This window comes from Homo sapiens, chromosome 8 (genome assembly GCF_000001405.40).
Source record: "Homo sapiens chromosome 8, GRCh38.p14 Primary Assembly".
Lineage (NCBI taxonomy): Eukaryota > Metazoa > Chordata > Mammalia > Primates > Hominidae > Homo > Homo sapiens.
In genome coordinates, this window is record NC_000008.11 from 88031503 (window position 1) to 88055051 (window position 23549).

A 23549-nucleotide genomic window follows, 5' to 3' on the forward strand; every position below is an offset into this window, starting at 1 on the left:
GCCAATCCTATTATTAAAAGAGAGAAAAAAAGGGGGGGGGATTTCTTATACGGGATTTTGCCAAAGACTTAACATAAAAATTAATTCCTGTGATTAAATTTGCCTAGATAACTATGATGTGTAACTTTAAAAATAAATTATATTCATCTCTTCAAAATGTCGTCTTTTATTTTTGTCAAGTCTTTGTAGAAACCTTAAATATCCTATGTTCACAGGCATTTGCCTGAAATATATTTGATGCAATGAAGTTTTCTTCTCCATTATTTGATCACAGTTATAAGCATATAGTAACTAAACAGTTTCTCCAGTTGATGTGGCCAGTTTAATATACTTGCTAGTTCAGGTAAATGCACTGAGGATTTTTCCCTAAATTAGTTTTCATTTTCTGTTTCATATGGATTAGAAAGACACAGATAGTAAAGGCTACTGCTTATAAATCATATCTTACATATTGGTCATAAATGTGTGTAAATCATTCATTGAGTAAAACCACAATGTCTATGAACCATTTTTCTGTTCTCTTATTTATTGACAGTTTCTTTTAATTACAACACAATGAATTGATGGTAAATACAGAAGATGCAATAGTATAAAAAGCCATTTAACCCTTCCCTAGGTTAAGACACTTACAGCAGACAAAAACTGCCCCACCCCTAATCCCCTCCTTGAATGGAAACAAAATAAATATAAATTAATAAATACAAAACAAATCACTGCACAGCCCTTAACTCTTTGATTGCCATGGCAAGAACCATGCTGATGATTCTAGCTTGTGACATTTGTGTGGTTAAAGGTTGCCGCAGCAGTCAAAGGGTTATAGCATTGTAAACATAAGTACTTTGTGGAAAAGTTCAGTCATGTTAATGGTCTATAGCAATGAGATTAATAGCATGACCCCTTGACCTTTAATGACGCAACATTATAAGGAGTTAAAAGAGATAGTAGCTTGGTGAGCTGTTACATAGACTAGTCAACCACTTTATTTAACAATGTGCTATGAGGCCTTGATTTACTAATAAAAGACAACTTGTGAATAATAAACACTGTTCAATGCACTGATCAATAAAATCAATGAAAAAATTAATTTAAGCACCACAAAATTTTGCCTGATTTTATCTGACAGTCATAATACACTTTAGCACCATTTATTTAGCCTTATATTTGCACACAAACAAGCTTTGTGTTTGTCAGTAGAAGCTATCTGAAAAAAAAAATGCCAGATTTAAGATGGTATAAGTGTATAGAATCCTGTGTGGGAAAAACATCACTACAACTTGCACACCTTAAAACTCATTCAGCAAATAAATGTGTTATTTATTTCTTTCCTTGCACACAGAAGACTACATATTATCAAGAACTTAATGAAATAGTGTTGAGTGTAATGAGAACAATGCAGAAACTTAAATCTAGATTTTAATACTCTCTCCATAATTGAAAACATCATGGGGAATTAAAAGAAAGGTGAAGTATTGTCAGACAACCACAAGATAATGGCCTAAATATTTAATTTCCTGGCGTTTCTCTCTGCTTCACAGTTTAATGTTATTTAAATAAAGTCTGTATTAATTTTAATTCTTTTACTTTCCCATAACCACAATATAGAAAGGAAAAAATTAGTTTCACAAGAAGCTATAAAATGTGTATTGTTTACCCAAGAGACAACTTCCCTTTGCAATTACTTGAATCTCATTCTGACTCTGAATGATAAATGTCTGTGCATTTTTTAAATATATGGTATTTATTTGACAAACTAAGTTTATGGGAGCTTTTTCTCCTTAATCTATCTAGTAAATATATATATATATATGTATCATATATACTATATATTCCTAAATCTATATTACCAGATAGCTTATATGGATGTCATAAATCTGCATTATCATACTGATCCACCGCTGGAATCAAGATAATGTTAATAAAGGTATACACGTTTTAAAATATCTTAAAGATAGGTTACTATACTGATGAAGCAGGCAAGTTTCTCAAGGTCAATAATTGATTCTTTTAAAAAAGCATCAACCAACTATGAACTAATTAGATTTTATGTTTTTGTTTAAAAAGTTAAGTTTATTAAAAGTTATATTAGCGCAAAATTGAACTAGTAAACTCCATTTATTTCCCTCCTATAATATAAAAACAAGATCTATTTGTTTAAAATCAGATACCTAAAAAAATCTTTCAAAACTTTTAAGCCTGAAACAAATTTTTATGGTCGAGTCTCTAAAACCCCTGAAAATAGAGGTCTGCAATAGAAATGCTGATACAGTCAAAACCAAGGCAGCAAAAAGCTGCCTCTGTAACACCCCTAATTCTTTGATTCTATCTCTCTTTCTAATATATATGTAATTTACACTTACAGAGAAATAGACCAAAGGATGAAGGTTTTAGGCATTTATGTACCCATGATGTACCTTAAACAGAACACTATACTGTGACTACTTTCCTGTATAATTATTTAAGATACATTCTCCAAAAGCAAATTTCCTTAGCTATCCTATCAACAGGCAATACCCATCATACTCAGCATTTCACTTTTCTCAGGGGAATAGCTCTATAAAAAGTTAGAAAAGCCAATGAGAGAGGTTGGGATGTATGTCAACTTTGCTGGGACTGTCTTTGCATGGAAGTTTTGACGAAAAATACTGAGGAACAAAGACATTTCCTGGGTACCATCTCTGATGTACAATGCTGCTCAATTCTGGTTTTCACAAAGGGAAGGGAAAACCAAATCTGTGTAAAAAAAAAAAAAAAAGGCAAGATAGGAATAGAAAGAAATGCAAATATAGACAGAGACTGCATAGGACAACTCAATAAGATGTATCTTTCCCAACCATCTGTATTTTTGGGTGAGAAACAGAAGGCAAACAAATAACGATCTTAGAATTGGAGGAGCAGAAAAACCAGGCACACATACCCTTGCTTGGAAATTGTTTGTTTGGAAGTAATTAAGATAGTGAAATTTTGTACTTATGAACATATAAAGGAATAATTGATTCCACATCAGCTGTAAAAGAAGTAAATGCCAAAAAGACCTAAAAACCTAATTTTACTCAGGCAATGGTATAGACAGCCAATAATGTGGCCTCTGTGACGGTATTTCAGTAATAGCAAAAATTGTAACATTGATTTAAGGATAACGCTCATATTACTACCAAAATCATTCATTCAAGCAAAGTATATTTTATCTTAACAATTGGATTGTTAATATATAGAGGAAACAGGTTCAAATTGGCATTATGTAACGGCAAATGAAACATGCATCCTAGTGACTTTTCAAATAGACAGCTCACACCAGGCTTCATTCAACCATGTCTTGGCAAGACAGGCCAATGTAGCGACATACATTCATATAAAAGGTGGCAAGTACAAGCAGCACCATATCCTATCCTAGGAAAATGCATCCTACCATGCAGTCACATCTCACCAAAGCTTCATCATATATAAAGCATGTATAAAAAGGCCTGTGTCAAAAAGTATTCTGCCTGGGATCCAGTTTACCCACAGACCAAATACTACAGAAATGTCTGTATTGTGACTGATATTTTTTTCATGTATAAAAACAAGTGGAAAAAATTCCCAAGAAACATCTCTATAAGCCAAAAAGTTTATCATTTTATTCTTGTTCACCATTCTTTTCTTCCAGTTTTTCTCTGTGAAATAAAGGTTAATGACATCTTGCTCTGAAGCTAAGTGACCTAACATAAGTATATTTCCGTATTTATATTTAATTGATTCTTATCCCTTTTTAAGGGCATATAAATTCAGCTCTACAGCAGAGCACATGGGAAAGTTATATGAATCTGTACAACATTCTAGTTTATGATGTATTTTCCTATACTGTTCAATGTGCCCTTTAATGTGAGGACACGCTGAGTGCACATTTGAATATCATCCCCAGTCCAATGATGCATAAAACAAATTCTAAGACACACTCATCTTTAAGTTGAAAAGGCATAGAATCCTCAGAAATCTCTATAAATAAATGTCTTTCATACATAACTTTTTATACTTACTCTGCACTGACCATGAGTTCTGGTTTATGCCCTTATTTGCCTTAGAAAACATTAGTTATGAATGTCTGTGAAGTCTCCGTTATAACACTAAGCTTCTGTGATCTTATATCCTTACTTAGTATAAATAAATAATATTGTTCTAATAAATGATGCATGTCACGTCCAGTTATAAGCCCATAATTGTGTTTAAAAATTGAAGACTGCTATGTACTTCTGTATTCTACTCAAACATTGACAGGAATTTTACAATATGTGTTTTTCCCTTAATTTCTGTGAGTATGTCCAATCAGTGTTCATTCTTAGGCTTTCTATACTATTGGTTTAACTTTCAAAGTAGACATACGTATAAAATATTGAAACATATATTTGTAATTGGATGTTATTAATCTTACCTGAAATATTTCAGAATTGTTTCAAAATCACACCAGTGGAAAAAGTGGAAAATGATTTCAGAAGTACATGAAAGACAAAGGTCACAATTAGATGAGACTAGAACATGAAGGCAACTTCTTTGCTACTACGCCAAGTGTCTTAGATTACATGAGTATTGAGGTAAATTTCTATTTCAGGGAAATGGCTTGTCTCAGGGGATTCTAACATTATATATCTTTCCAACTTGAGGTTACTGAACACCTACCTCTTACATTTTTAGCCTGTAAGGCAATGCATGAGTATCAGATGTGTTTAAGCACAGTAACATCTAATGACCACTGGCTAAATATTACATTGATATATCACATAATCATCACTAGTGCAAAGAGCTTGAAGTTGGATTTTTTTCCTCCACTATTTTATGCTTGCTAAAGTAAAATTTCCAGTTGTATTATCAAGGAGTGTTATAGTTTGTCTTTATATTTAACAAAAGACTCATTTTTCCTCCTCCATTTCCATCATATTATATAAATATGAAAGCTAAATATAATAATTAGCTTTCATATTTGTTGCGTTGCTATTCCTGGTTGCCGCTTTATTTATTACATAAAATTCTAATTTTTAAGATATAACTGTTAAAAATTTTCTGATGTAGTTATGATTCCCTCCTAGGCAACGTGGAGCCTGTAACTTAACTGCATATGCTCTGGCACCTATTTCCTGTGGTCACAATATATCAACAACATGAAGGTACATGAAATACAGCCGAATGATTAGATCCTCTTATATGATTGACTTGACACATTTTGTGATATTACATATTGGCTGAGATTGCTGTAATAGGTCATCTGAAATGCACATTTTTGGTTTATATAGCATATTCTATTTGACATCTGTGATACTTTGGAATATGCCCTTGAAAGCATCAGAAATGAAATAAGCTCTTTACTGTGTTTGCTAAAAAAGACCTTACCACCATCCAGAAGATTGTTTCAGTATATACTACAATCTCACAGACTCAATACTACCAGTAAATAATTCCCTTTATTAGTTTCTGGAAATGATTCCAAAAACTTTAAAATATATATTTTTTCATGACTCAGTTTAACTCAGTCTGTCTGTCTGCTTATAACATCCATTCCTCTTCAGATAGCACTTTGAGTTTAGTTAATATGGACACACTATTTATTCCACTGTAAGATCCACAAAGTGTGGGCGTGTATGTGTACCATACTAGATATATTAGCATAACATGTAGAACTTGCAAATATGACTACCCCTACAATCCAGTTTACACACCATCATCTATGTATTGGAACTAGCAGTGAAGTTTGGACAATGTTCTTATCCACCACATTGTGTTTTTTAATGACCCACAGAGAGGGAATGAAAATAGGTACACAGTATATGAAATGGCCAAATTATGTGTTAACAAAAAAAGATTATAGGTAATTATTAAAGGTAACACTTGCTTATGTGTTAACAAAAAAAGATTATAGGTAATTATTAAATGTAACACTTGCTTATTTCAGTAAACCAGTCTGTATCTTTTATTACTTAGTAATTATTTTTGGTAATCATTACTTAGTAATTTATCACATCGATTCAGAAAAGCCTTGCCCTCTGATTTATAACAGAAGTTGTCTTTGCTAGTATCACATAATGCTGTCTAATTTAGCTCTATAACCTTTGCAATCAGAAAGAGCATCTGTATTCACCTGCTCTGACTGCCATGTCAACAGACACTGTTCTGAAATGAGTCAATAAATTCACAACCTTATCTACAATTCTGATGCGGAATTACTGCTTTACAGGAAATTCAAACTGATCAGCTATTTTAATACTTCATTGCATTTGTTTAATAATACACAGAACAACAATATTTTACTAAAATTCTTAACTATATGGTCATTTTACATGAAGACCATTACCTTGTTTACATTTGTGTTTATATTAGATAAAGTAATGAGAAATGAAGCAGAAGGAGAATTATTTTTGCAGGCATGAATGTGTTTTCATTTCAATTTGGGAAATCCTATGTCTGAGCTTTTCATGTTATTAGTGATGGGGTGATGAAAATATTTTATGCCTTGCATATCTCTAGTAACACTGAACTGACACCTTATGTTATTGACCCATGGAAATTTATTCTGCATTGGTTTTGAATCACTATTCTTATGTGCTAGATGAATTACTTTCCCTTTCACTGTTCCATTTGGTTTGAGACTTTTTTCCCAAACCTCATGTAGAAGAGGAGTCAGGAACCATACCCACAAAGTAGCTGGTGTACAATAAACAAATGGAATCCCACTGTTTGTGATTACATTGTCCTTATTGTCTTCTTATCTCTTGTAATAGTACAGCCTGATAACTGAAATGTTCTGTTCAAAAGAGCAGCCTTATATGCCTTTGCTTATCACATAAATCTTGTCTCATATTAAAGTAAATATGACCCAACCCTTATTCATGACATTTGCCAGAATTCAAGCATAATGATAGACTCCTTCCTTCTTAATGCTATGATTATTTTCTAGCCCTTATATACTGATAGCCTTATGACGAATCAGGATATTGTGATGAATGAGTAAAGAGGCAACAGATTGCTTATTCAGTTTCTTTCTCATTTTAGAGGAAAAAAAAATCAATTTTCAATGCAGGGTGATGGAGTTCCTCAATGATTTGCACATGTCCCAAAATGACACAGTTCCTCATTTCTATCTTTAGCAAAATATAGTTTCCAGTTATTTTTTTCTTGACATCAAGGCCCTAAAAGGATTAAACCCTCCCACAAGCAAACACTGTATAAACGAGCTTATGTATATAGTCCTCCATGCTTAGCAGCAGTGACTAACTCTTTATAATATCAGCATCATCTAGAATGGAAGCACTGAAGTAAAGCTACAGGGCTGACTCTGGTTCTCATTTCTTGCTTTCTTGGCCCTTGCGTACATAATCTCCAATATCCTCTTAAAATATTGTCTGCATTGTATGATATTTTACTGTAAAGCCATTCTTCTTTTCTTACTCTTCTTTTTTCTTAGGCTCATACTATATACGCTCAGGTTGTAAGAAATAACAATCTGCAAGGCTTTGCAGCATGCCACCCACAATTATAAAATATTTTCCCCAACCAAATCATAAACATGTAGTTTAACCAAAAGGCATTCTAATTTTCATGCTACGTTGAGTATAAATATAAATTCAAGGCAGCCAAACTATCCATTTCCAAATAAGAATGTATACCTACACTCATTAAAAATCATCTGGAAATGTGTATTAGCAAATGAGTAAGAAATTTTTACTAGTATAAAATTCCTGCTTTATATAAAAGCCACACTGGCCATTCAAGTATTTGAGGTTTTTTTTTTCCTATAGTTTTTGTAATTTGTACTAAAATGATGAATTTAGACTTGAAATTATATTAAAATGAAATTAAAATTCACTTCTACCTATAGGGCATTTTCAGAGTGTGCATGTAAAGAGCAAAGTGTCCATCTGCAGATCTGCCATCACCACTCTCTCCACTCTAAGGAAACAGCTCATGCTTACTAGGTTTTAGAGAACAACTAATCCAATGGAGAAGCAACACCAGATTTCCTTCAGTTTGTGCCAGTTTGCAAGTTAAAGGTCAAAGGGCAAAGACATAGAACAGGACTCTTCAAGGAAAATTTTCACAGAAGACAATGTTTAAGTTGTTGTTAATGACAGTCAATAGATCAATAATCAAGTTCAAGGCAAGCTGTTCATTGTTTCAAAAGCTAATCCCCTCAAAGCTGGCTTTCACACAAAGCCAATGTCTGACTCATGGGGTGCATTCATTCTGACCATCTCTAATAAGTTCACAGCCCAGTGGCTGTAAAGCCTTTCACTGCAAGAAGCAGCTCCTAAAAATCAATAAAGAGGTCTGTCAGTTGCTGACTTTTCTCTAGGAAAAAAATATTGATACAAACCTGCTCTGCAGGTCACATGAAAATGACAATACTGCTGTTAGGACAAATTACACTCAACAATGAAATGCTTTGGTGGTCTCTTGGCTCTGTCAGTGATCAAATGGACGGCTAAATGCCAGAAGCCACACTAACCCTTTGAGAACTATGGTGGACATGCAATAGGTAATGCACTGGAGGATATTCATGCAACTTCAGAGTCACCGTTTTAATTCATTTTTAAAATGGCAATGCTAACTGCATATACCAAGGCAAATTGAATTTTCATGCAATGGATTTTAAAACAGAAATTCAGTATGCCTAAAAAAAAGAAAAGAAGACTTAGGCTATTATCAGTTTTTCAAATAAAATTTCAGATTTATGAGAATCTTAATAAAATACCTTTTTTATTTGCCAGAAAAATTTTGGCAAGTAACATCATTTCTGTTTGTTATAAACACATTTATGTAGTCTTGTAAATCATTTAAAAATTATATGACATTATAGGATATCTGTTTTAAAAACCTGAACTTCTTGAACTTGTGACTGTTTTTACCATTGCCCAGTTCTATAATTTATCAGATCGCAAGACCGACAATCCTAAGACTCTGAAAGCTGGTCTGATAGTTCTCAAAGGGTTACACGGGTATGTTACTAGTGTCACAAATCCTTGTAAAATAACTGCCACTGTAATCCACTTCAGAGACATACTGCTTCTTGCTCTGCTTTGTAACGAATATTCCTGACAGACCCATGGAAGGCCTGGGGCAATGGCCTAATACAACTTGGGAAGATTATCACAATGATGGAGGAGTAAGGTGGAAAGAAGGGGTTTAGAAATACTTCAAAAACAATTAAAAGGTCGTGTTTGAAAATAGCTATGAATATAAATGCGATGAAACACTGAGGACATAGCTGAGAACAGCTGTATAAAACGAAAAATGGATGTATTATTAAGGCTGTTACTATATTGCAGATATTTTGGCCCCTTGGTTGTTGGAAAATGGCTGTCCCAACAGTCTAACGTCCTGCATGTGTATTCCAAATCTCCCACCTGACAAAATGGTGCGTAGGAGACTATCCAAAGCAGTCAGAGAGCTATCTTCTTTGGAGACAAAGCTGTTTTGGGTCTTCACACTTTCCTGGAAGTTCAATTGTGGGTTTTTTGTTTAAACTCTTTTTTCCCTTTGTTTTAAAGCAAAAAAAGAAAAAAAGAAAAAAAGAAAAAAAGAAAAACCGTGGGTTTTCTGATTTGCTTTTTTTTTCTCCCCCCAGAAATGGGCTCAGACTTCAGAAGGAAAATAACATTAGAAACTTTTAAGAAGAATCTTTTCTTCTTTTTCTCCTCTTCTTTAGTTAATCCTGAAATTTTACTGGGCATTGAGCGTGCAGAGGAAAGGCCTAGAACTGAATGACAAAGAAAGACAAAGGACTGAAGAACAGCAGATACTGTGCATCATGGAAGCTTCCCCATGAGTGTATTTCCACTCATGTGCAGGACCAGCAACCCTCTGGGTTTGAAAGGTCAGCCCCGAATCAGGCTGCCACAAGCCTGCTCCTAGCTAGGAAACAGCATAACAGCTCTTGTCTTGAATCTCAAGTTACCACAAACTCCTGCAAAAGAAAGAAAGAAGAAAAAACCCTACATCACACCCACTCTTGCATAGAGCGTTTACAGTACAGTATGTGGCGGGGTGTTCCTTTCCTCTTGAACTGGAACACAGTGTAAACCAATACAAGGAGGCATAAGGCCAAGATGCAGGGAATGACAATAGCTATGGCTTTCACAGTGCTGGCTGTGTTGTCCAGTTTGATGACAATGTCTACATCATCTGGTGGGCTGTGTCCTTCTTTAACTCTGTCTGTTGGTCCATCACAGCCCATAAAATCCTTGAGGATGGATCTTGGATATCCAGGTTCTACCTTGAGTATCTGGTTGTTGAATTTCCAATACTCCTTTCCTTTGTAGAAATACGTAAAGCCTAGGGGGAAAAACATACACACACACAGGTACCACTTATTTGTGACAGTGTATATGTAGAGAAATGTTACTAAAATAGGCTATGTCTTAAGAGATGTATTTTAAGGCCCTTTAATTTTCATAGGAAGAAAACACTATTTTCAGCTCAGCTGTCTGTTAAGATGGCTGTGGCTGCTGTGCTCCAGGAATGATGCCATCTAATGCCTATGGAAAGCTCAGTCCAGAGAGAGAAATATCATTTACAGAGGACTGTTCAAAGACCATGCTATGCAGTCTACTCCTAGTCCAAGCTAGAAAAGAGAACCTTATCTTTTTGCTCGCTTACAGGATTGCTGTTACAAAATTACATATTAGTGTGATAGTACCAACCTATATTGAAAGATGCTGAAACAGCCTTATAAACTGAAACACTGTTTACCCTCAGGCTGTTACTGGGAACATTGTTCAATATATGATAAAGTCGCTTCTCTATGAAACACCTCAAGGGAAATTTCTAATCATCTTAGTATCAGGAATCTGTGCTCCTTCTAAACAACAGGCTTCCTTTTGTAATTTGCATGAGAAATCATAATACAATGAAATCATAAAACTGGAGGGGCTTTCATTTGCCTGCAAGGAATCTTAACAAGTAAAGACGTATTCATAGTATTCGGTACTCTAACCTCATTTCTGGCTCTAGGTCATAAACATTTTGTTCCTTCTCCTTTTGTCCTCTTTATTTTACTTTATTAAAAATATGTTTAATTTGTGTCACCTAGCTATATTTTAGAGAACTACTAAAGCCATTATTCATTATTTTAAGAATAAAATACAACATAAATCTACAATTCTATTTTTAATACTTCCTAGTACCTTATATTTCATGGGGAGGAGGTGGGATGTGGGAGGCTCAAGTAACTCAGCAATACATGCAATTTATTTTCTAAAACATTATGAATGCATACAATAGACTTTTAAGCTCCTGATGATTAAACTACAAATATGGACATTTTTCTTAGGTCTATTCTCCAAATTTTATGTTTTTGTTGGGCACATATCCAGTTTTTTCTTTCTGTCCACAGCTCATTCATGTCAAGTTTCTGTGTGACTATAATACTTTGACTTAATTTGTCCTTTGAGATAAAATTCAAAAAATCAAGAAATGTTTTAATGCTATAATTACTTAAAACTATATTTTGGGAGTTACCTATTTTTGATACAAGGCAAAATTCATAGTTTATAATCGTTAATGAAGGTAATATTTTTTCCTGTTTTATTGAGGACTTATTATGGAAGAAGCATTGGGTTAAAGTTTAGTAGATGACCTGTCTTTAAATCCTCACAAATACTCTATCAGGTAGAATTAATTATCCTTTCTTTTAAGCCCACGATATTGAGGATCAGAGACAAAATAACATGCTCATGTTCTGGTGAACACAAGATTTAAACCTTGATCTAGATCTAGAGACTGTACACTTAATAATTTTTTAAGACTGGGTCCTTTACACATCTCCTGTCTTTGTTTTTTAGATGGAGTTTCGCTCTTGCTGCCCAGGGTGGAGTGCAATGGCCCGATCTTGGCTCACAGCAACCTCCGCCTCCTGGGTTCAAGCGATTCTCCTGCTTCAGCCTCCTGAGTAGCTGGGATTACAGGCATATGCCACCATGCCTAGCTAATTTTGTATTTTTAGTAGAGACAGGGTTTCTCCATGTTGGTCAGGCTAGTCTCAAACTCCCGACCTCGGAGATCGCCTATCTTTTATCAAATACTCCTAGGTTAAACATCCAAGGGTGTGATAGATAGGTATCATTTTTGAATGAAGAACTCTGACATCTCTCAAGAAATTTCAGATAGGGCAGATGATTACTTCAGGTCACTTCATTCTGGAAATCGTTCTGTTCAATGCCATGAACACCTACTGCTGCTTTTAGTTTTGAAGGACAGTTTTGCAATGAGAGCAACTTGCCAAGTGAAAACAGGTGTATGTAGATACAAGTTTTTCAGCCGAGAGTTGGTATTTGATCACGTTAATGAAATTCAATATAATTACTCAACAAGCTTGGATGAAGAAATGTTGAGGGCCTGCCAAATAACAGTACATTAGATGATCATAGATGAATAACGGCATTGATCTAGAATTAAACAGACCTTCAAAATAGGTGAATGTACTTCTTATATCTATAAACTGGAAACCAACAGCTGGATGTGTCCTCATCTTTAATTTTTGGCTAAAGCTCATTACTATAGAGCTACTAAGCATTACACAAAAGTTAAGAAGTTTCTATTTACATACAACACAGTTCTGTAGGGCACATTTTATAGTAACACACTCCACATATAGGAGTAGAATTGCAGTTACTGAATACACTTGTTACAAATAAGAAGTCTAGGCTTGTTGTGGAGGCTCATGCCTGTAATCCCAGCACTTTGGGAGGCCGAGGCAAGAGGATTGCTTGAGCCCAGGAGTTCAACACCAGGCTGGGCATCATACAGGAGTTATAGACCAGCCTGGGCACCATAGTGAGATGAGACCCTGTCTCAGAAAACAAATGTCTAGTTACTAGGAGATAGACAGTGTAAGCATTTGAAAGGAAGTAGCCTAAAATAGAAGTAATACTTGGTAATGGAAGTATGTCAAACCTTGATCCTGCAAAATTCATCTTGCTCAACAACCTAGGTTTTTTCATTTATGAAAGGTCAGTTGGTTGAATAAATATTTAGGTATTTGTATTTTTTTCCTTTTAAAAGCAGCTTTGACATGTATTTTTGTATACATGCTTATGAAGAATAACTTCTGGTGAATTCTTAACTAAATTTTCATTGTTTTGAGAAATTCTAGAAAATAAATTAACGAGGCTGTGTTTTGATGATCCTTTTATGTTTGACTGAACATCATTGGACTTGTCTATTGTTTCATCCTAAAAGTGTAATGAGACATAATTTTCCACAGCTGGTACTATTATATAGCTTAGTAGATGTTCCCTGAGAGCAGTGCCTCTGTGTTCTATTTTTTACTCTTACACGTTTATTAGTAAGAAGTTGCTATTTAACACATGTGGATAAATAAACTGATGTGATCATCTTTCACATTTTTTCATTTCTTTGTCCTTCTTAGCTGTATAGCTTCTTAAGTTTTGAGGCACATTATTAATCTGATTTTACTGCCTCCAATGTGACTTTATCATGACTTCCTTTACTCTCTTATTCCTTTCCCTTTTATCTCAGAGAGTTATGTTTTAATCTTAGTCTCACTGTCCTATGGATTTCTGCTTCTGTCACATACAAGTAATATCTTAACTTGGTCTTTTAATTTTCTGAGCCAATTGAATACACAAAAATTATTTTTCTCAGCAAGTACTATGATCAGGACTTCAAGGTTCTTTTTGACTTTGCCTCTGCCTACAGTGTTCCACTTGTGGGACACTATCACACAGAATGTAGTAGCATATCATTATACATATAGCAATGCTCAAAAAACAGTACATGTACTTTGATTTTTCTGATTGGTATTAATTTATCCTGATTCTAAGTTCCTTCAAGTTTATACTAGTATAGAGTTTTCTTTTTCTTTCTTTCTTTTTCTTATCTTTTTGTTTGTTTGTTTGTTTGTTTTTTAGACAGAGACTGGCTCTGTCACCCAGCCTGGAGTGCAGGGGCATGATCTCAGCTCACTGCAACCTCCTTCTTCTGGGTTCAAGCAATCCTCCTGCCTCAGGCTCCTGAATAGCTGGGACTACAGGTACATGCCACCATGCCTTGCTTATTTTTTTATATTTTTAGTAGAGATGGGGGTGTCATCATTGTGGCCAGGCTGGTCCCAAACTCAGGTAATCTACCCACCTCAGCCTCCCAGGTGTGAGCCCCCACGCCCTGCCAGTGTAGAGTTTTCTTAATCTTGCAATACACTTAAGGTCAATCACAGTTTTCAGTGGTAGTATGATTTTTCATTTTCCCCTGACTCTTTCATTAACCTTGCTTTCTCTTCCCTGCCCCTAGATGCACTTGTTTGTCTTGCAAGAGATGCCTATTTTTGCTTATGTTGAGCATATGTCACAGACTTTTCATGTTATTGAGGACTACATAATATACTATTTTCTTATGCTTCCTATTGAAAATAATTTGATGAGGTAAATATTTTTCTCTGTATTTCAGAATGTCATTTTCTTTTCCTTTGTTCTGAAATATTGCATATAAATTCAATTTCAAATTATTATTATGATTTATTCCTATTTACTAATCCCTGGATGGGAAGAGATATGTTTACATTTCATATATGCCAACAGATAGGGGAGTATGGATTATCCCCAGCTTGGCTAATTTTCCACTCAGGATCTAGCTGAATGTGAAATCCTGGGATAGCAAGTAAAGGGGACAGCTCTTGGATTTTTTTCCTGTTATTATACCATCATACATCCACTCTATTCTCACCATATTGAGCTGGAATCTTCCTTGCTTGCTGGACTCTTCCTCTAAGCTAAAGAATAGATACAAAATTATAATTCTCAACATGCATTATTACCAGATATAATACCTCGAGTGGCACCTCTATCTTCCTTGTGACCGGTTCTGTCCCATGTATTTTTGTTATTATTATCTTTACAGGAATTTTAATAGAAATATAGGTAAAATTACCTCAAAGGTATACACAACTTCCATATTAAACTATTACTTGTCTTTTTTCTAATGACTTTTTTATAAACTAAGTTGAGGTTAAAAAATGTCTACAGCATAATATGATATGTAAATCTAGGAAAAAAAGTTCATATAAATAGAAATACAGTATTACATAGCTCTAGTATAGCACTTTCCAATGGCTTAATTTAGCAGAGTGAAAAAGCCTAATGTGTTACTAAGATAGCAAACTTATGAAATGTAGAAAGCACATGTTGCATACCATTTTCTTTGTGTACAAATGCTCCCTGAGGAGATTCAGGGATCCCTTTCCAGACTGTGATTGGCTTGGGATAGCCAGGGTCCATTGTTTTCATTTCTTCACTATATCTCCAATATCTACAAAGGATAAAAACAACAACAACAAACACAATAACACACATATAGGGAAAGATTATGCATACAAACAATAATAGCTGACATTTATTAGACCTTTGCTGTGTGCTTGACTTTGTTACCTGTGCACCTGTTAATGATTTACAGAACTCCAACTGGCAAGCTCTTATTTAAATAACTGAAAATACAATGGGCATAAGGCATTTATTCTGTTTCTTCTCCTGCATATATTAAAAATGGGCATCTTATTGTCCATATCCTGCCTGTGTTAAAAATAAGTTCTTATTCAGTATGCTAAAGTGAATAAAAAGTGCTAGCTAAGTATATTTATAGTTCATAAGGACATCACCAACCTGCATATATATATCAGAGGTTTTCATGAGTTTTTAAAAAACCTTTCTTAGGAAGCAGAACATTTTTTTGAAATAATCTTAAGCAGAATCTTGATTTATTTATTCATTCGGTACATATTTAGTGAATATATATTATGTTCCTGGCGTTATTATAGGGCTAGAGATACAACGTTGGACAACACAGATATGCTGTGGCTCTCATTGATCTCACATTATAGGATATGTGAGGATGGGCAATAAACCAATTTATCAATAAATACATACTATGATAGGAGGTGATAACAACTATGAAAAAAGCAAAGCAGATAAGAGTTATCTAGGAGTATCTGAAGTCATGTTAAATTGGTGGACTGAGAGGTCCTGTCTGATAAGTTGACATCTGAGCAGAGAAAAGTGAGGAGCAATACATGCAGTCTTTGGGAGAAGAACATTCCAGGCAGAGAAACTAGGAATTGAAAATTCCTGTGGCAGGCACATGCTGGAGTACCTGTGTCTACAAGGAGGCTGGGGTGACTGGAATTGAGTTAGTAATGTGGAGACATGGTGAGAGTAAGAACCAGAACCTAAGATTAGACAAGCATTTACACTACAGCGAGCCTTTGGCTTTACTCTAAGAGAGATGAGAAATCATATATATTTTGAACAGAGAAGCTTAAACTTATGGCTAAGTGTTGAAAAGAATACACTGGCTGCTATGAGTAAAAGAGTTTGAAGGAGATAAGGCAGAAGTAGGAATGCCAGTCGGGATGTCACTGCAATAATCCTTGGACTAGGGAGTCAATAGCTATAGGACTGATGATAAATCAAGGCATTTGGGATATATTTTAAAGGAAGAGCCAAAGGACTTATTCATGGATTAGATGTGGGATGTGAAAGAGAAGGAAGCTGAGCATGACTCAAGAATTTTAAGCCCGATTATCTGGAAGAAGTATGTTGTCATTCAGTAAGGTAAGGAAGTAAGGGAAGGTAAGCTGAGAAGGATTGAGGAACCATGACTTTGGTGTTAACTACTTTAAATTCAGACTTCAAAGTGGACCTGTTGATGAGGAAACTGGGAATGTGAGTATAGACATTAGGGCTGGTCTTGATTGGAGTACTCAGTGTATAGACATTAATACAAGTAAAAGCAAAGCTCACCAAGAGTTAGAACTCTCAGACTCTCATCCCTTCACAGGCTAGTCCGTGAGCCACTTTCACAGAACCCCTAGACTTCCAAGGAACAAATTGTGAACATCCCTACTTTGGATCACTCATTATTGTCCATGTATTTTAGGAGTAAAATAAGTTTATATTTTGAATGGTCACAAAGATTGACAAAATAGGGTAAAATCACTGGGAGTTCACAGTGATATCACCTATTTCGGGCAGCCCTATTGCTCTATGCATTATTTTATTTAATCACAACAAACCTATGAGATAGTCATCACTGTCCCCATTTGAGAGAGGAGAATTCTTGGAGGACAATGAATGATAGGTAGAAATATAACCATGTTTGTCTGATTTCAAAAGTATCTGCTATTTCACCATAAAGGCAGTTTCCAAGTTTATTTTGATGCCACCAAATACGTTTCCCAATTTTATTTGACAATGCTTTTCCCCCCACTAAACATCTATGGTGATCTACTAAAGCTAGTGTTTTGCCAACACATATTTGGGAAATGATACATTTAAAAAAATTATCTTTGACTTAGCCATTTTATCTGAAATTAGAAAAAAATAAGTATTTTCTAGTTTGGATATGCCTCTGCCAGGCCTATGGAGGATTCTTTACCTAACAGAGCTCTGGGGTCCTGTGCAAAAGGCTTTCCTATAAATTCCTAGAAACCTCACTTGAGTAACATCTGGAATTCCTCCATCTTCCTCCATCTTCAACGTGCACATAGAAATGGGAAAAAGATTGTTTCAGGAAGTGTACTAAGAAGTAATGCCCAAAGAGGAGTTTACACCAAAAGGGAAACTGTCACAGGTATTTGTTGCAGGTTCTCATCACATCGAAGATGAGAACAGATCTGACGAACAGATCAGAAATAGCTTCATGGAGAAGCACTGAGCTGAAAGAATCGTGCCTGGACTGCATCTTTCTGAAGAGGACAATGAAGTGGAATCATTAGTGTATCATGCCACCAATTCTAAAATAAATTTTCTTTCACATTTTGTTCATGGAAACATTTACTTTTAAATTTAAATATTTAAATTAAACATCATTTCTGAATATTCTTCTCCCACAGAACATTCTGTGATGAATGGTTAATGCAGCTGAGATTTGCTCATAATCTAAAGATCTCTTCTCTCAGGTAAATATCTCAGTGGGGTTTACAATAGTTATTTAATATATATGTTAACTGCTTTCCACACTTGAGCAAACAAAGTGTCTTGCAGAGAAACAGTCAAATACCTATTTCATGGATCCTAAGAAACACTTTTTCACATTTTACATCTCTCAACATCAGAATGCCCTTACAATAGATGCAGCGTCGGTTTACTTGACAGGGTTTCCTCTCATAATAGAATAAATAATGACATATTTTAACAATACATGGCACTTTTAGATGACATAAACTATAACTTAAAGTGAGCTTTTAAATTCTAACTTAAAATTTGGACTAGGGCCAGGTGTGGTGACTCACACCTGTAATCCCAGCACTTTGGGAGGCCAAGATGGATGGATTGCTTGAGCCCACGAGTTTGAGAACAGCCTAGGCAACATGGTGAAACCCTGTCTTTACCAAAAACTCAAAAAACTAGCTGGGCATGGTGGTGCACACCTTTAGTTCCAGCTACTCAGGAGGCTGAGGTGGGAGGATCTGTTGAGCCCAGGAGGTTGAGGCTGCAGTGAGCTGTGATTGTGCCACTGCACTCCAGCAAGGGCAACAGAATGAGACCTTGTCACAAAATAATAATAATAGGCCAGGCATGGTGGCTCACACCTGTAATTCCACCACTTTGGGAGGCCAATGCGGGTGGATTACCTGAGGTGAGGAGTTCAAGACCAGCCTGGCCAACATGGCGAAACTCCGTCTCTACTAAAAAATACAAAAATTATCTGGGCGTGGTGGCAGTCGCCTGTAATCCCAGCTAGTCGGGAGGCTGAGGCAGGAGAATCGCTTGAACCCAGGAGGCGAAGGTTGCAGCGAGCCGAGATAGTGCCACTGCACTCCGGCTTGGGCAACAGAGAGAGACTTCATCTCAAATAATAATAATAAATAAAATTTGGAATAACTTAAAATCCTGAGGACAATGGGATCACATCCTGCATGTGATTTAAGTAACATTAATACATACCTAGCAACCAGATTAGTTTTCTGAGAAGTAGTTGCTTTTCATGTAGAAATAACTACACGTCATGTAGCATTTTGTAGCTATAAAGTAAATTTATATACATATATTGTTGTGCTTAAATCCCTCAAGTCTTTTATATCACATATTACAATGTTCTCTATAATAATGTCCTAACCATAGATTTAGTATGAATTGTCACTCAATTTAAGCAATGACAGAGCATTGGGTATCATATTATTCAAAGACAATTGACTTAGTCACATTTACTGTGTTTGAATGTGGTAGAATTGAAATTCAAATGTTACTGCTAGTATCTGCCTGTGGTTCTTATTCTCTCAATGCTGTCGTTCAAACAACTGGTGTTCATTGTTTGGGTATAGCTTTCCTTTCTTGCTTAGTCTGTTCATTCATAGATTCATTCACCCACTGATGCTTTTCTGTGCACCTATATTATATGCCAGACTCATAGGATTCAGAGAGATCTCATTTCAGGAAAATGTTAATGGAATGTAAATTTTATTACACTCTTTTGTAGGAACATAATTCGGGTATGAATTTGTCAACATAAATGCATTTTTCCCTCTCCTAGCAGATAATGCAAAACAATAATTTAGGATCATTTTACAATTTTAGAAAAACTCAACATAGGCTCAAACCCAAAGGTTGTCTGCTTTGTGTCAGCTTTGAAATATTTCCAGTAAACTAGAATGCAATTAGAATTATCTATATTTAGTGCTGTCTTATAAAAGGTGCTGAGGCTTACTCATAAATATTGCTTTATATTTTAATTTCCAACATATTTGAGCTTATGTCAACATGAACAAAAAAATCTCATCCCACTGAGTTCTTCCCCCTGAAAAATAAGCTTATAGATGCATTGAGAAGTAAATTAGCATATTCAGATCGGAACACTGTGTACATCAACCATTTGGGGGGTTTAAAATGTAGATATTTTCATGGAAAACATTGAAATTTTGTGTGGGAGGGTCAATAAGTGATGAAAGCTATTATAAATGAACCTCATAGCTCTTTCTTCTGATTCATCAGTTATCTCTACTGTAAAATTTTGACTTTAATCAGATAATTTTTTGGAGATTAGCAGTCTTAATCAATGCCCCAAAGTCCCATTCCTCAGAATCAGTCTTAAAAATGCAACAGAATAGAAAATATCAATATATCAGTTTTTGCTGTATTTTTGAACGACTCAAAAACATATACATCAAAAAATTACTTTGTAAACATAACACTTAAGCTGGAAGAAATAAACGTATTTTTCTATTTGACTGTTAGTGACGATAATAATTAAGAAAATAAAGTAGGTCTACATTTTGTTATTTTTATTTGAAAATACCTTAAAATTCTCAACAGCTAAGCTTCTTATGAAATATGGCAATAGAGTCTTAGATATGTTTGTGAGATGTTGAGAGATGACTTAGAAACATAGCATTTTAAGCTAAATGTTATGAAGATCAAAACATATCCAAGTACCAAATTGTAGTGTATTAACAAAAGGGCAAGTAGGAATCTGAGGGACTGAGTTCCATGCTGTATATGAAATAGTACAACACTAGATATTTTAATCTGAATTTACAGATTTATTTAAAGAACCGTCATTTCATCTACTCTCTTTAGCTATCTCTATACTTAGAAGATTTCACATGGACTCCTGCTTTCAATACCATTTATATGTCAATAACTCTGAGATCTGTGCCTCCAACTAAACTTTCCATTAAGATGCAAACTCAATTATCCAACCACCTACTTGACTTCTTCACTTGGTGTATAAATAGGCACCTCAGTCAAGCATGGACATTTCAATCTCTTAATCCCCTTCCCCCAATATTCCTTTCTGTGTCTGCCTTATCTCCAGATAAGGTGCTATCTGCTTAATTACTTGAGTGAAAAGCCTAGAAGTTGCCCTGATTTATTTTGTTCCTCCCCTAAAATCCAAGCCCTGAGGACAACTTGTTATCATACTCAAAATGTATCCTGCACCCACCCACTTTGCTCCATCTCCACTGCTACCATCATGTCTTCCTGCACTCCTTCAATGGTCTCCCAGTTACCCTCCACGCCTCCACTCTTGGAGCCCATTCTTCACATAGAAGCCAGCACAATCTGTGTGAATACACAGAAGATCATGTCACTTTCCTGTTGAAAACCCTCCAATGCCTCTTCCTTGTACTTAGAATAAAATTCAAACTGTTTGCCATGGGCTACAGGGCCCTGTGAAATCTGGTCCCTATCAACCAGTTTGACTTCTTCCACCACTTAACCATTATGCTCTAGCAACACTGTTTTTGAACAATCCAACTTCTTTCCTACATTATTGCCTTTGCATGACTATAGCATCCACCTGCAACACATTGTCCTGAACAGCTTTCTATGGCTGAAACTTCTTCCTACTCAAGTCCCCACTCAAGTGTCCCCTTAACAAGTGAGGCCTTCTCCCAAGTCAACCCTAAGTCCCAACCTGTCCTTACCACCAGGAGTCTCATTTCTCACTGTGAAAATTATCAGGGTCATTTATTTGTTTACTGTTTATTATTTGTCTCCCCCAACACAGTCTAAGTGCCATGAAACTAGGAGCTCTGTGGTCTTTCTACTACTCCATCTTCATTACCTAGCACATGTCACATACTTTGTGCTTCAAAATGCATTTTTGAATGAATGAAATGAGTGCTAGGGTAGGACAGGTGCAGAAATCTTAAGGAAGCAGGCACTAGAGCTACTGAGAATAGAATGTGCTGCCTCATGTTCATACTGTCACAGGCAGTTTGGTGGAGAGGGAAGGGTACTCTTGGGCTGTAATTGAGGGTATCTAGATTTTGGTAGGAAGTGAACAACATGTAGGGCTGACATATGGCAGCATCTAATTTAAAGATGTGCTGTGTTTGCCTAGTAGATTATTTTAAGTGATCTTGATTTTGAATGCTTTTCTGGAGTTTTTGCACTTTCCACCTTACCGCAGTACTCATCATTCGCTATTGCGCAACTTGGATATACTGCTTTACCTAGTATTACAGCCGTTATTCACCTGATCTCTTTAAGGACTTGAATTTTTTACAGCGGCTCTAGAGACTCACTAAAATCCTTTTTGCTCTTAGCCTTAGAGAAATAGAAAACTGCTGACATAACTTTTTTTCTTTTTTATAAGCAGAAAAATGGCAGTGGGAGAAGAGGGGAGAAATAATAAAACATAAATTCTCATATAAAAGTGACAACTAAATTGTTGTGTTTTTGTTTCAGATAGAGAGTTTAATGTCTTTTCCGTCTAAGTTTTAAATCTAGAATAAATATATTGATAACTGCTGTTCACTCTGGAAATATATAATTATATGACTATGGAGTAATCTGTTTATAAAACATCTATAACTCATGACATCTTACATAAGATCACACACATGGAAATTAATTGAAACCCTGCTTTCAGTTTTTTTAAACCTATAAAACCATAGTCATTTAAATAGAGCTTAAAAGTAATAAAGGCATTTCTATATATTTTCTATATTTGGCATGTAGCTTTTCAAGCGGGGAGTAAATGATCTAAAAAACCCTTTTCCCATTTTCTATAGTCTTTATTCTTCTATACTTTTGGCATCTAACCTCCACTGATTTCACAAATTTAAGGTAGTTCACGTTTAATCCTGAAACTTAAATGTTCCAATAAGTAATAAATTTTTAGAATGAAAACATTTTAAATGTAATCCCTACATTTGTGGGAAAAAGAGCTATCTGATAATGAAATGGGCATTTTTATTATTATCTATGAAACTCTAATTAAGCTGTTACATGAAAGTTAAGCTTCCATTTTCTGTCCCCTAGTAGCTAACTTCTCCAAAGTGTCTCCTCAGCCTTTCATTTTTGCCCTTTTTTGAGAAAAAGAAAAAAGTGCAACTCCGTATAGTACCGAGTTCTGCATGGGTACATTCAAGCAATTAAAATCAGCTGGTGAATTTAACAACCTTAAGAGTTATACCATTTTAAAGAATATGTTATAAGTCTGCAGATTTACTTTCATTAGTGGCCACTATGCAGTGGCAATACAGTTCTTCCTCTTTCATAGTCTATTACATGGACATCCTGTTGAGAGTCATTACACTTTTTGGGGCTTTAAGTAGCATCTTCTCCTTTGATCAAATTTTTGTTTGATAGATCTTTTAAATTTGTGATTTAGTAAGAAACATTATAGCACAGCCTAGCTTTATTATAACGAATTAAAATCTATGAGCATTTTGCTATGGAAAAATATAGGAATATTGCATATACAGTTAGTAAAAGGATAAATTTAAAAGTGTACATTCTTATTCATGGAAGCCAATTATAGCAACTTTTTGTTCTCACATAAAGCTTAATGTTTGAAACCATTTGGAATTAAAAATTGTAAATTTCCGAATAAACAAAGTTTGTAGCCTTACTTACTTTTCTCCTAAAGTTGGAGACATTGCATAGGGTTATTCTATGCTAAGATAATATGGCAAACTCAATACTGGCATGTTGGACATTAAAGCCTGTATTTTGTATGTGTGTATTTTCTTAAAAATTTACTCATAAATGGAAGTATAATGGCAGACTTAAGTCATCCTACAAACAATGAAGACTACTTATGAATTTCTCATTGTGAGCTAGCTAGTAATA

At 35.1% G+C, this 23549-nt stretch overlaps 1 protein-coding gene across 2 annotated transcripts in view; it reads right to left on the minus strand.

The window, feature by feature from the left end:
• Positions 1–508: 508 nt before the first annotated feature.
• The window catches only part of MMP16 (matrix metallopeptidase 16), a 295473-nt gene continuing 272432 nt past the window's right edge, over positions 509–23549 (minus strand). For both annotated transcript variants that reach the window (NM_005941.5, XM_024447154.2), the window contains 2 exons: positions 15167–15282; positions 509–10293 (listed from right to left, as the gene is read on the minus strand). In NM_005941.5, the coding sequence (NP_005932.2) occupies positions 9959–10293; positions 15167–15282 (451 nt within the window). In that variant the 3' untranslated portion in view covers positions 509–9958. The remainder of the gene's footprint in view (positions 10294–15166; positions 15283–23549) is intronic.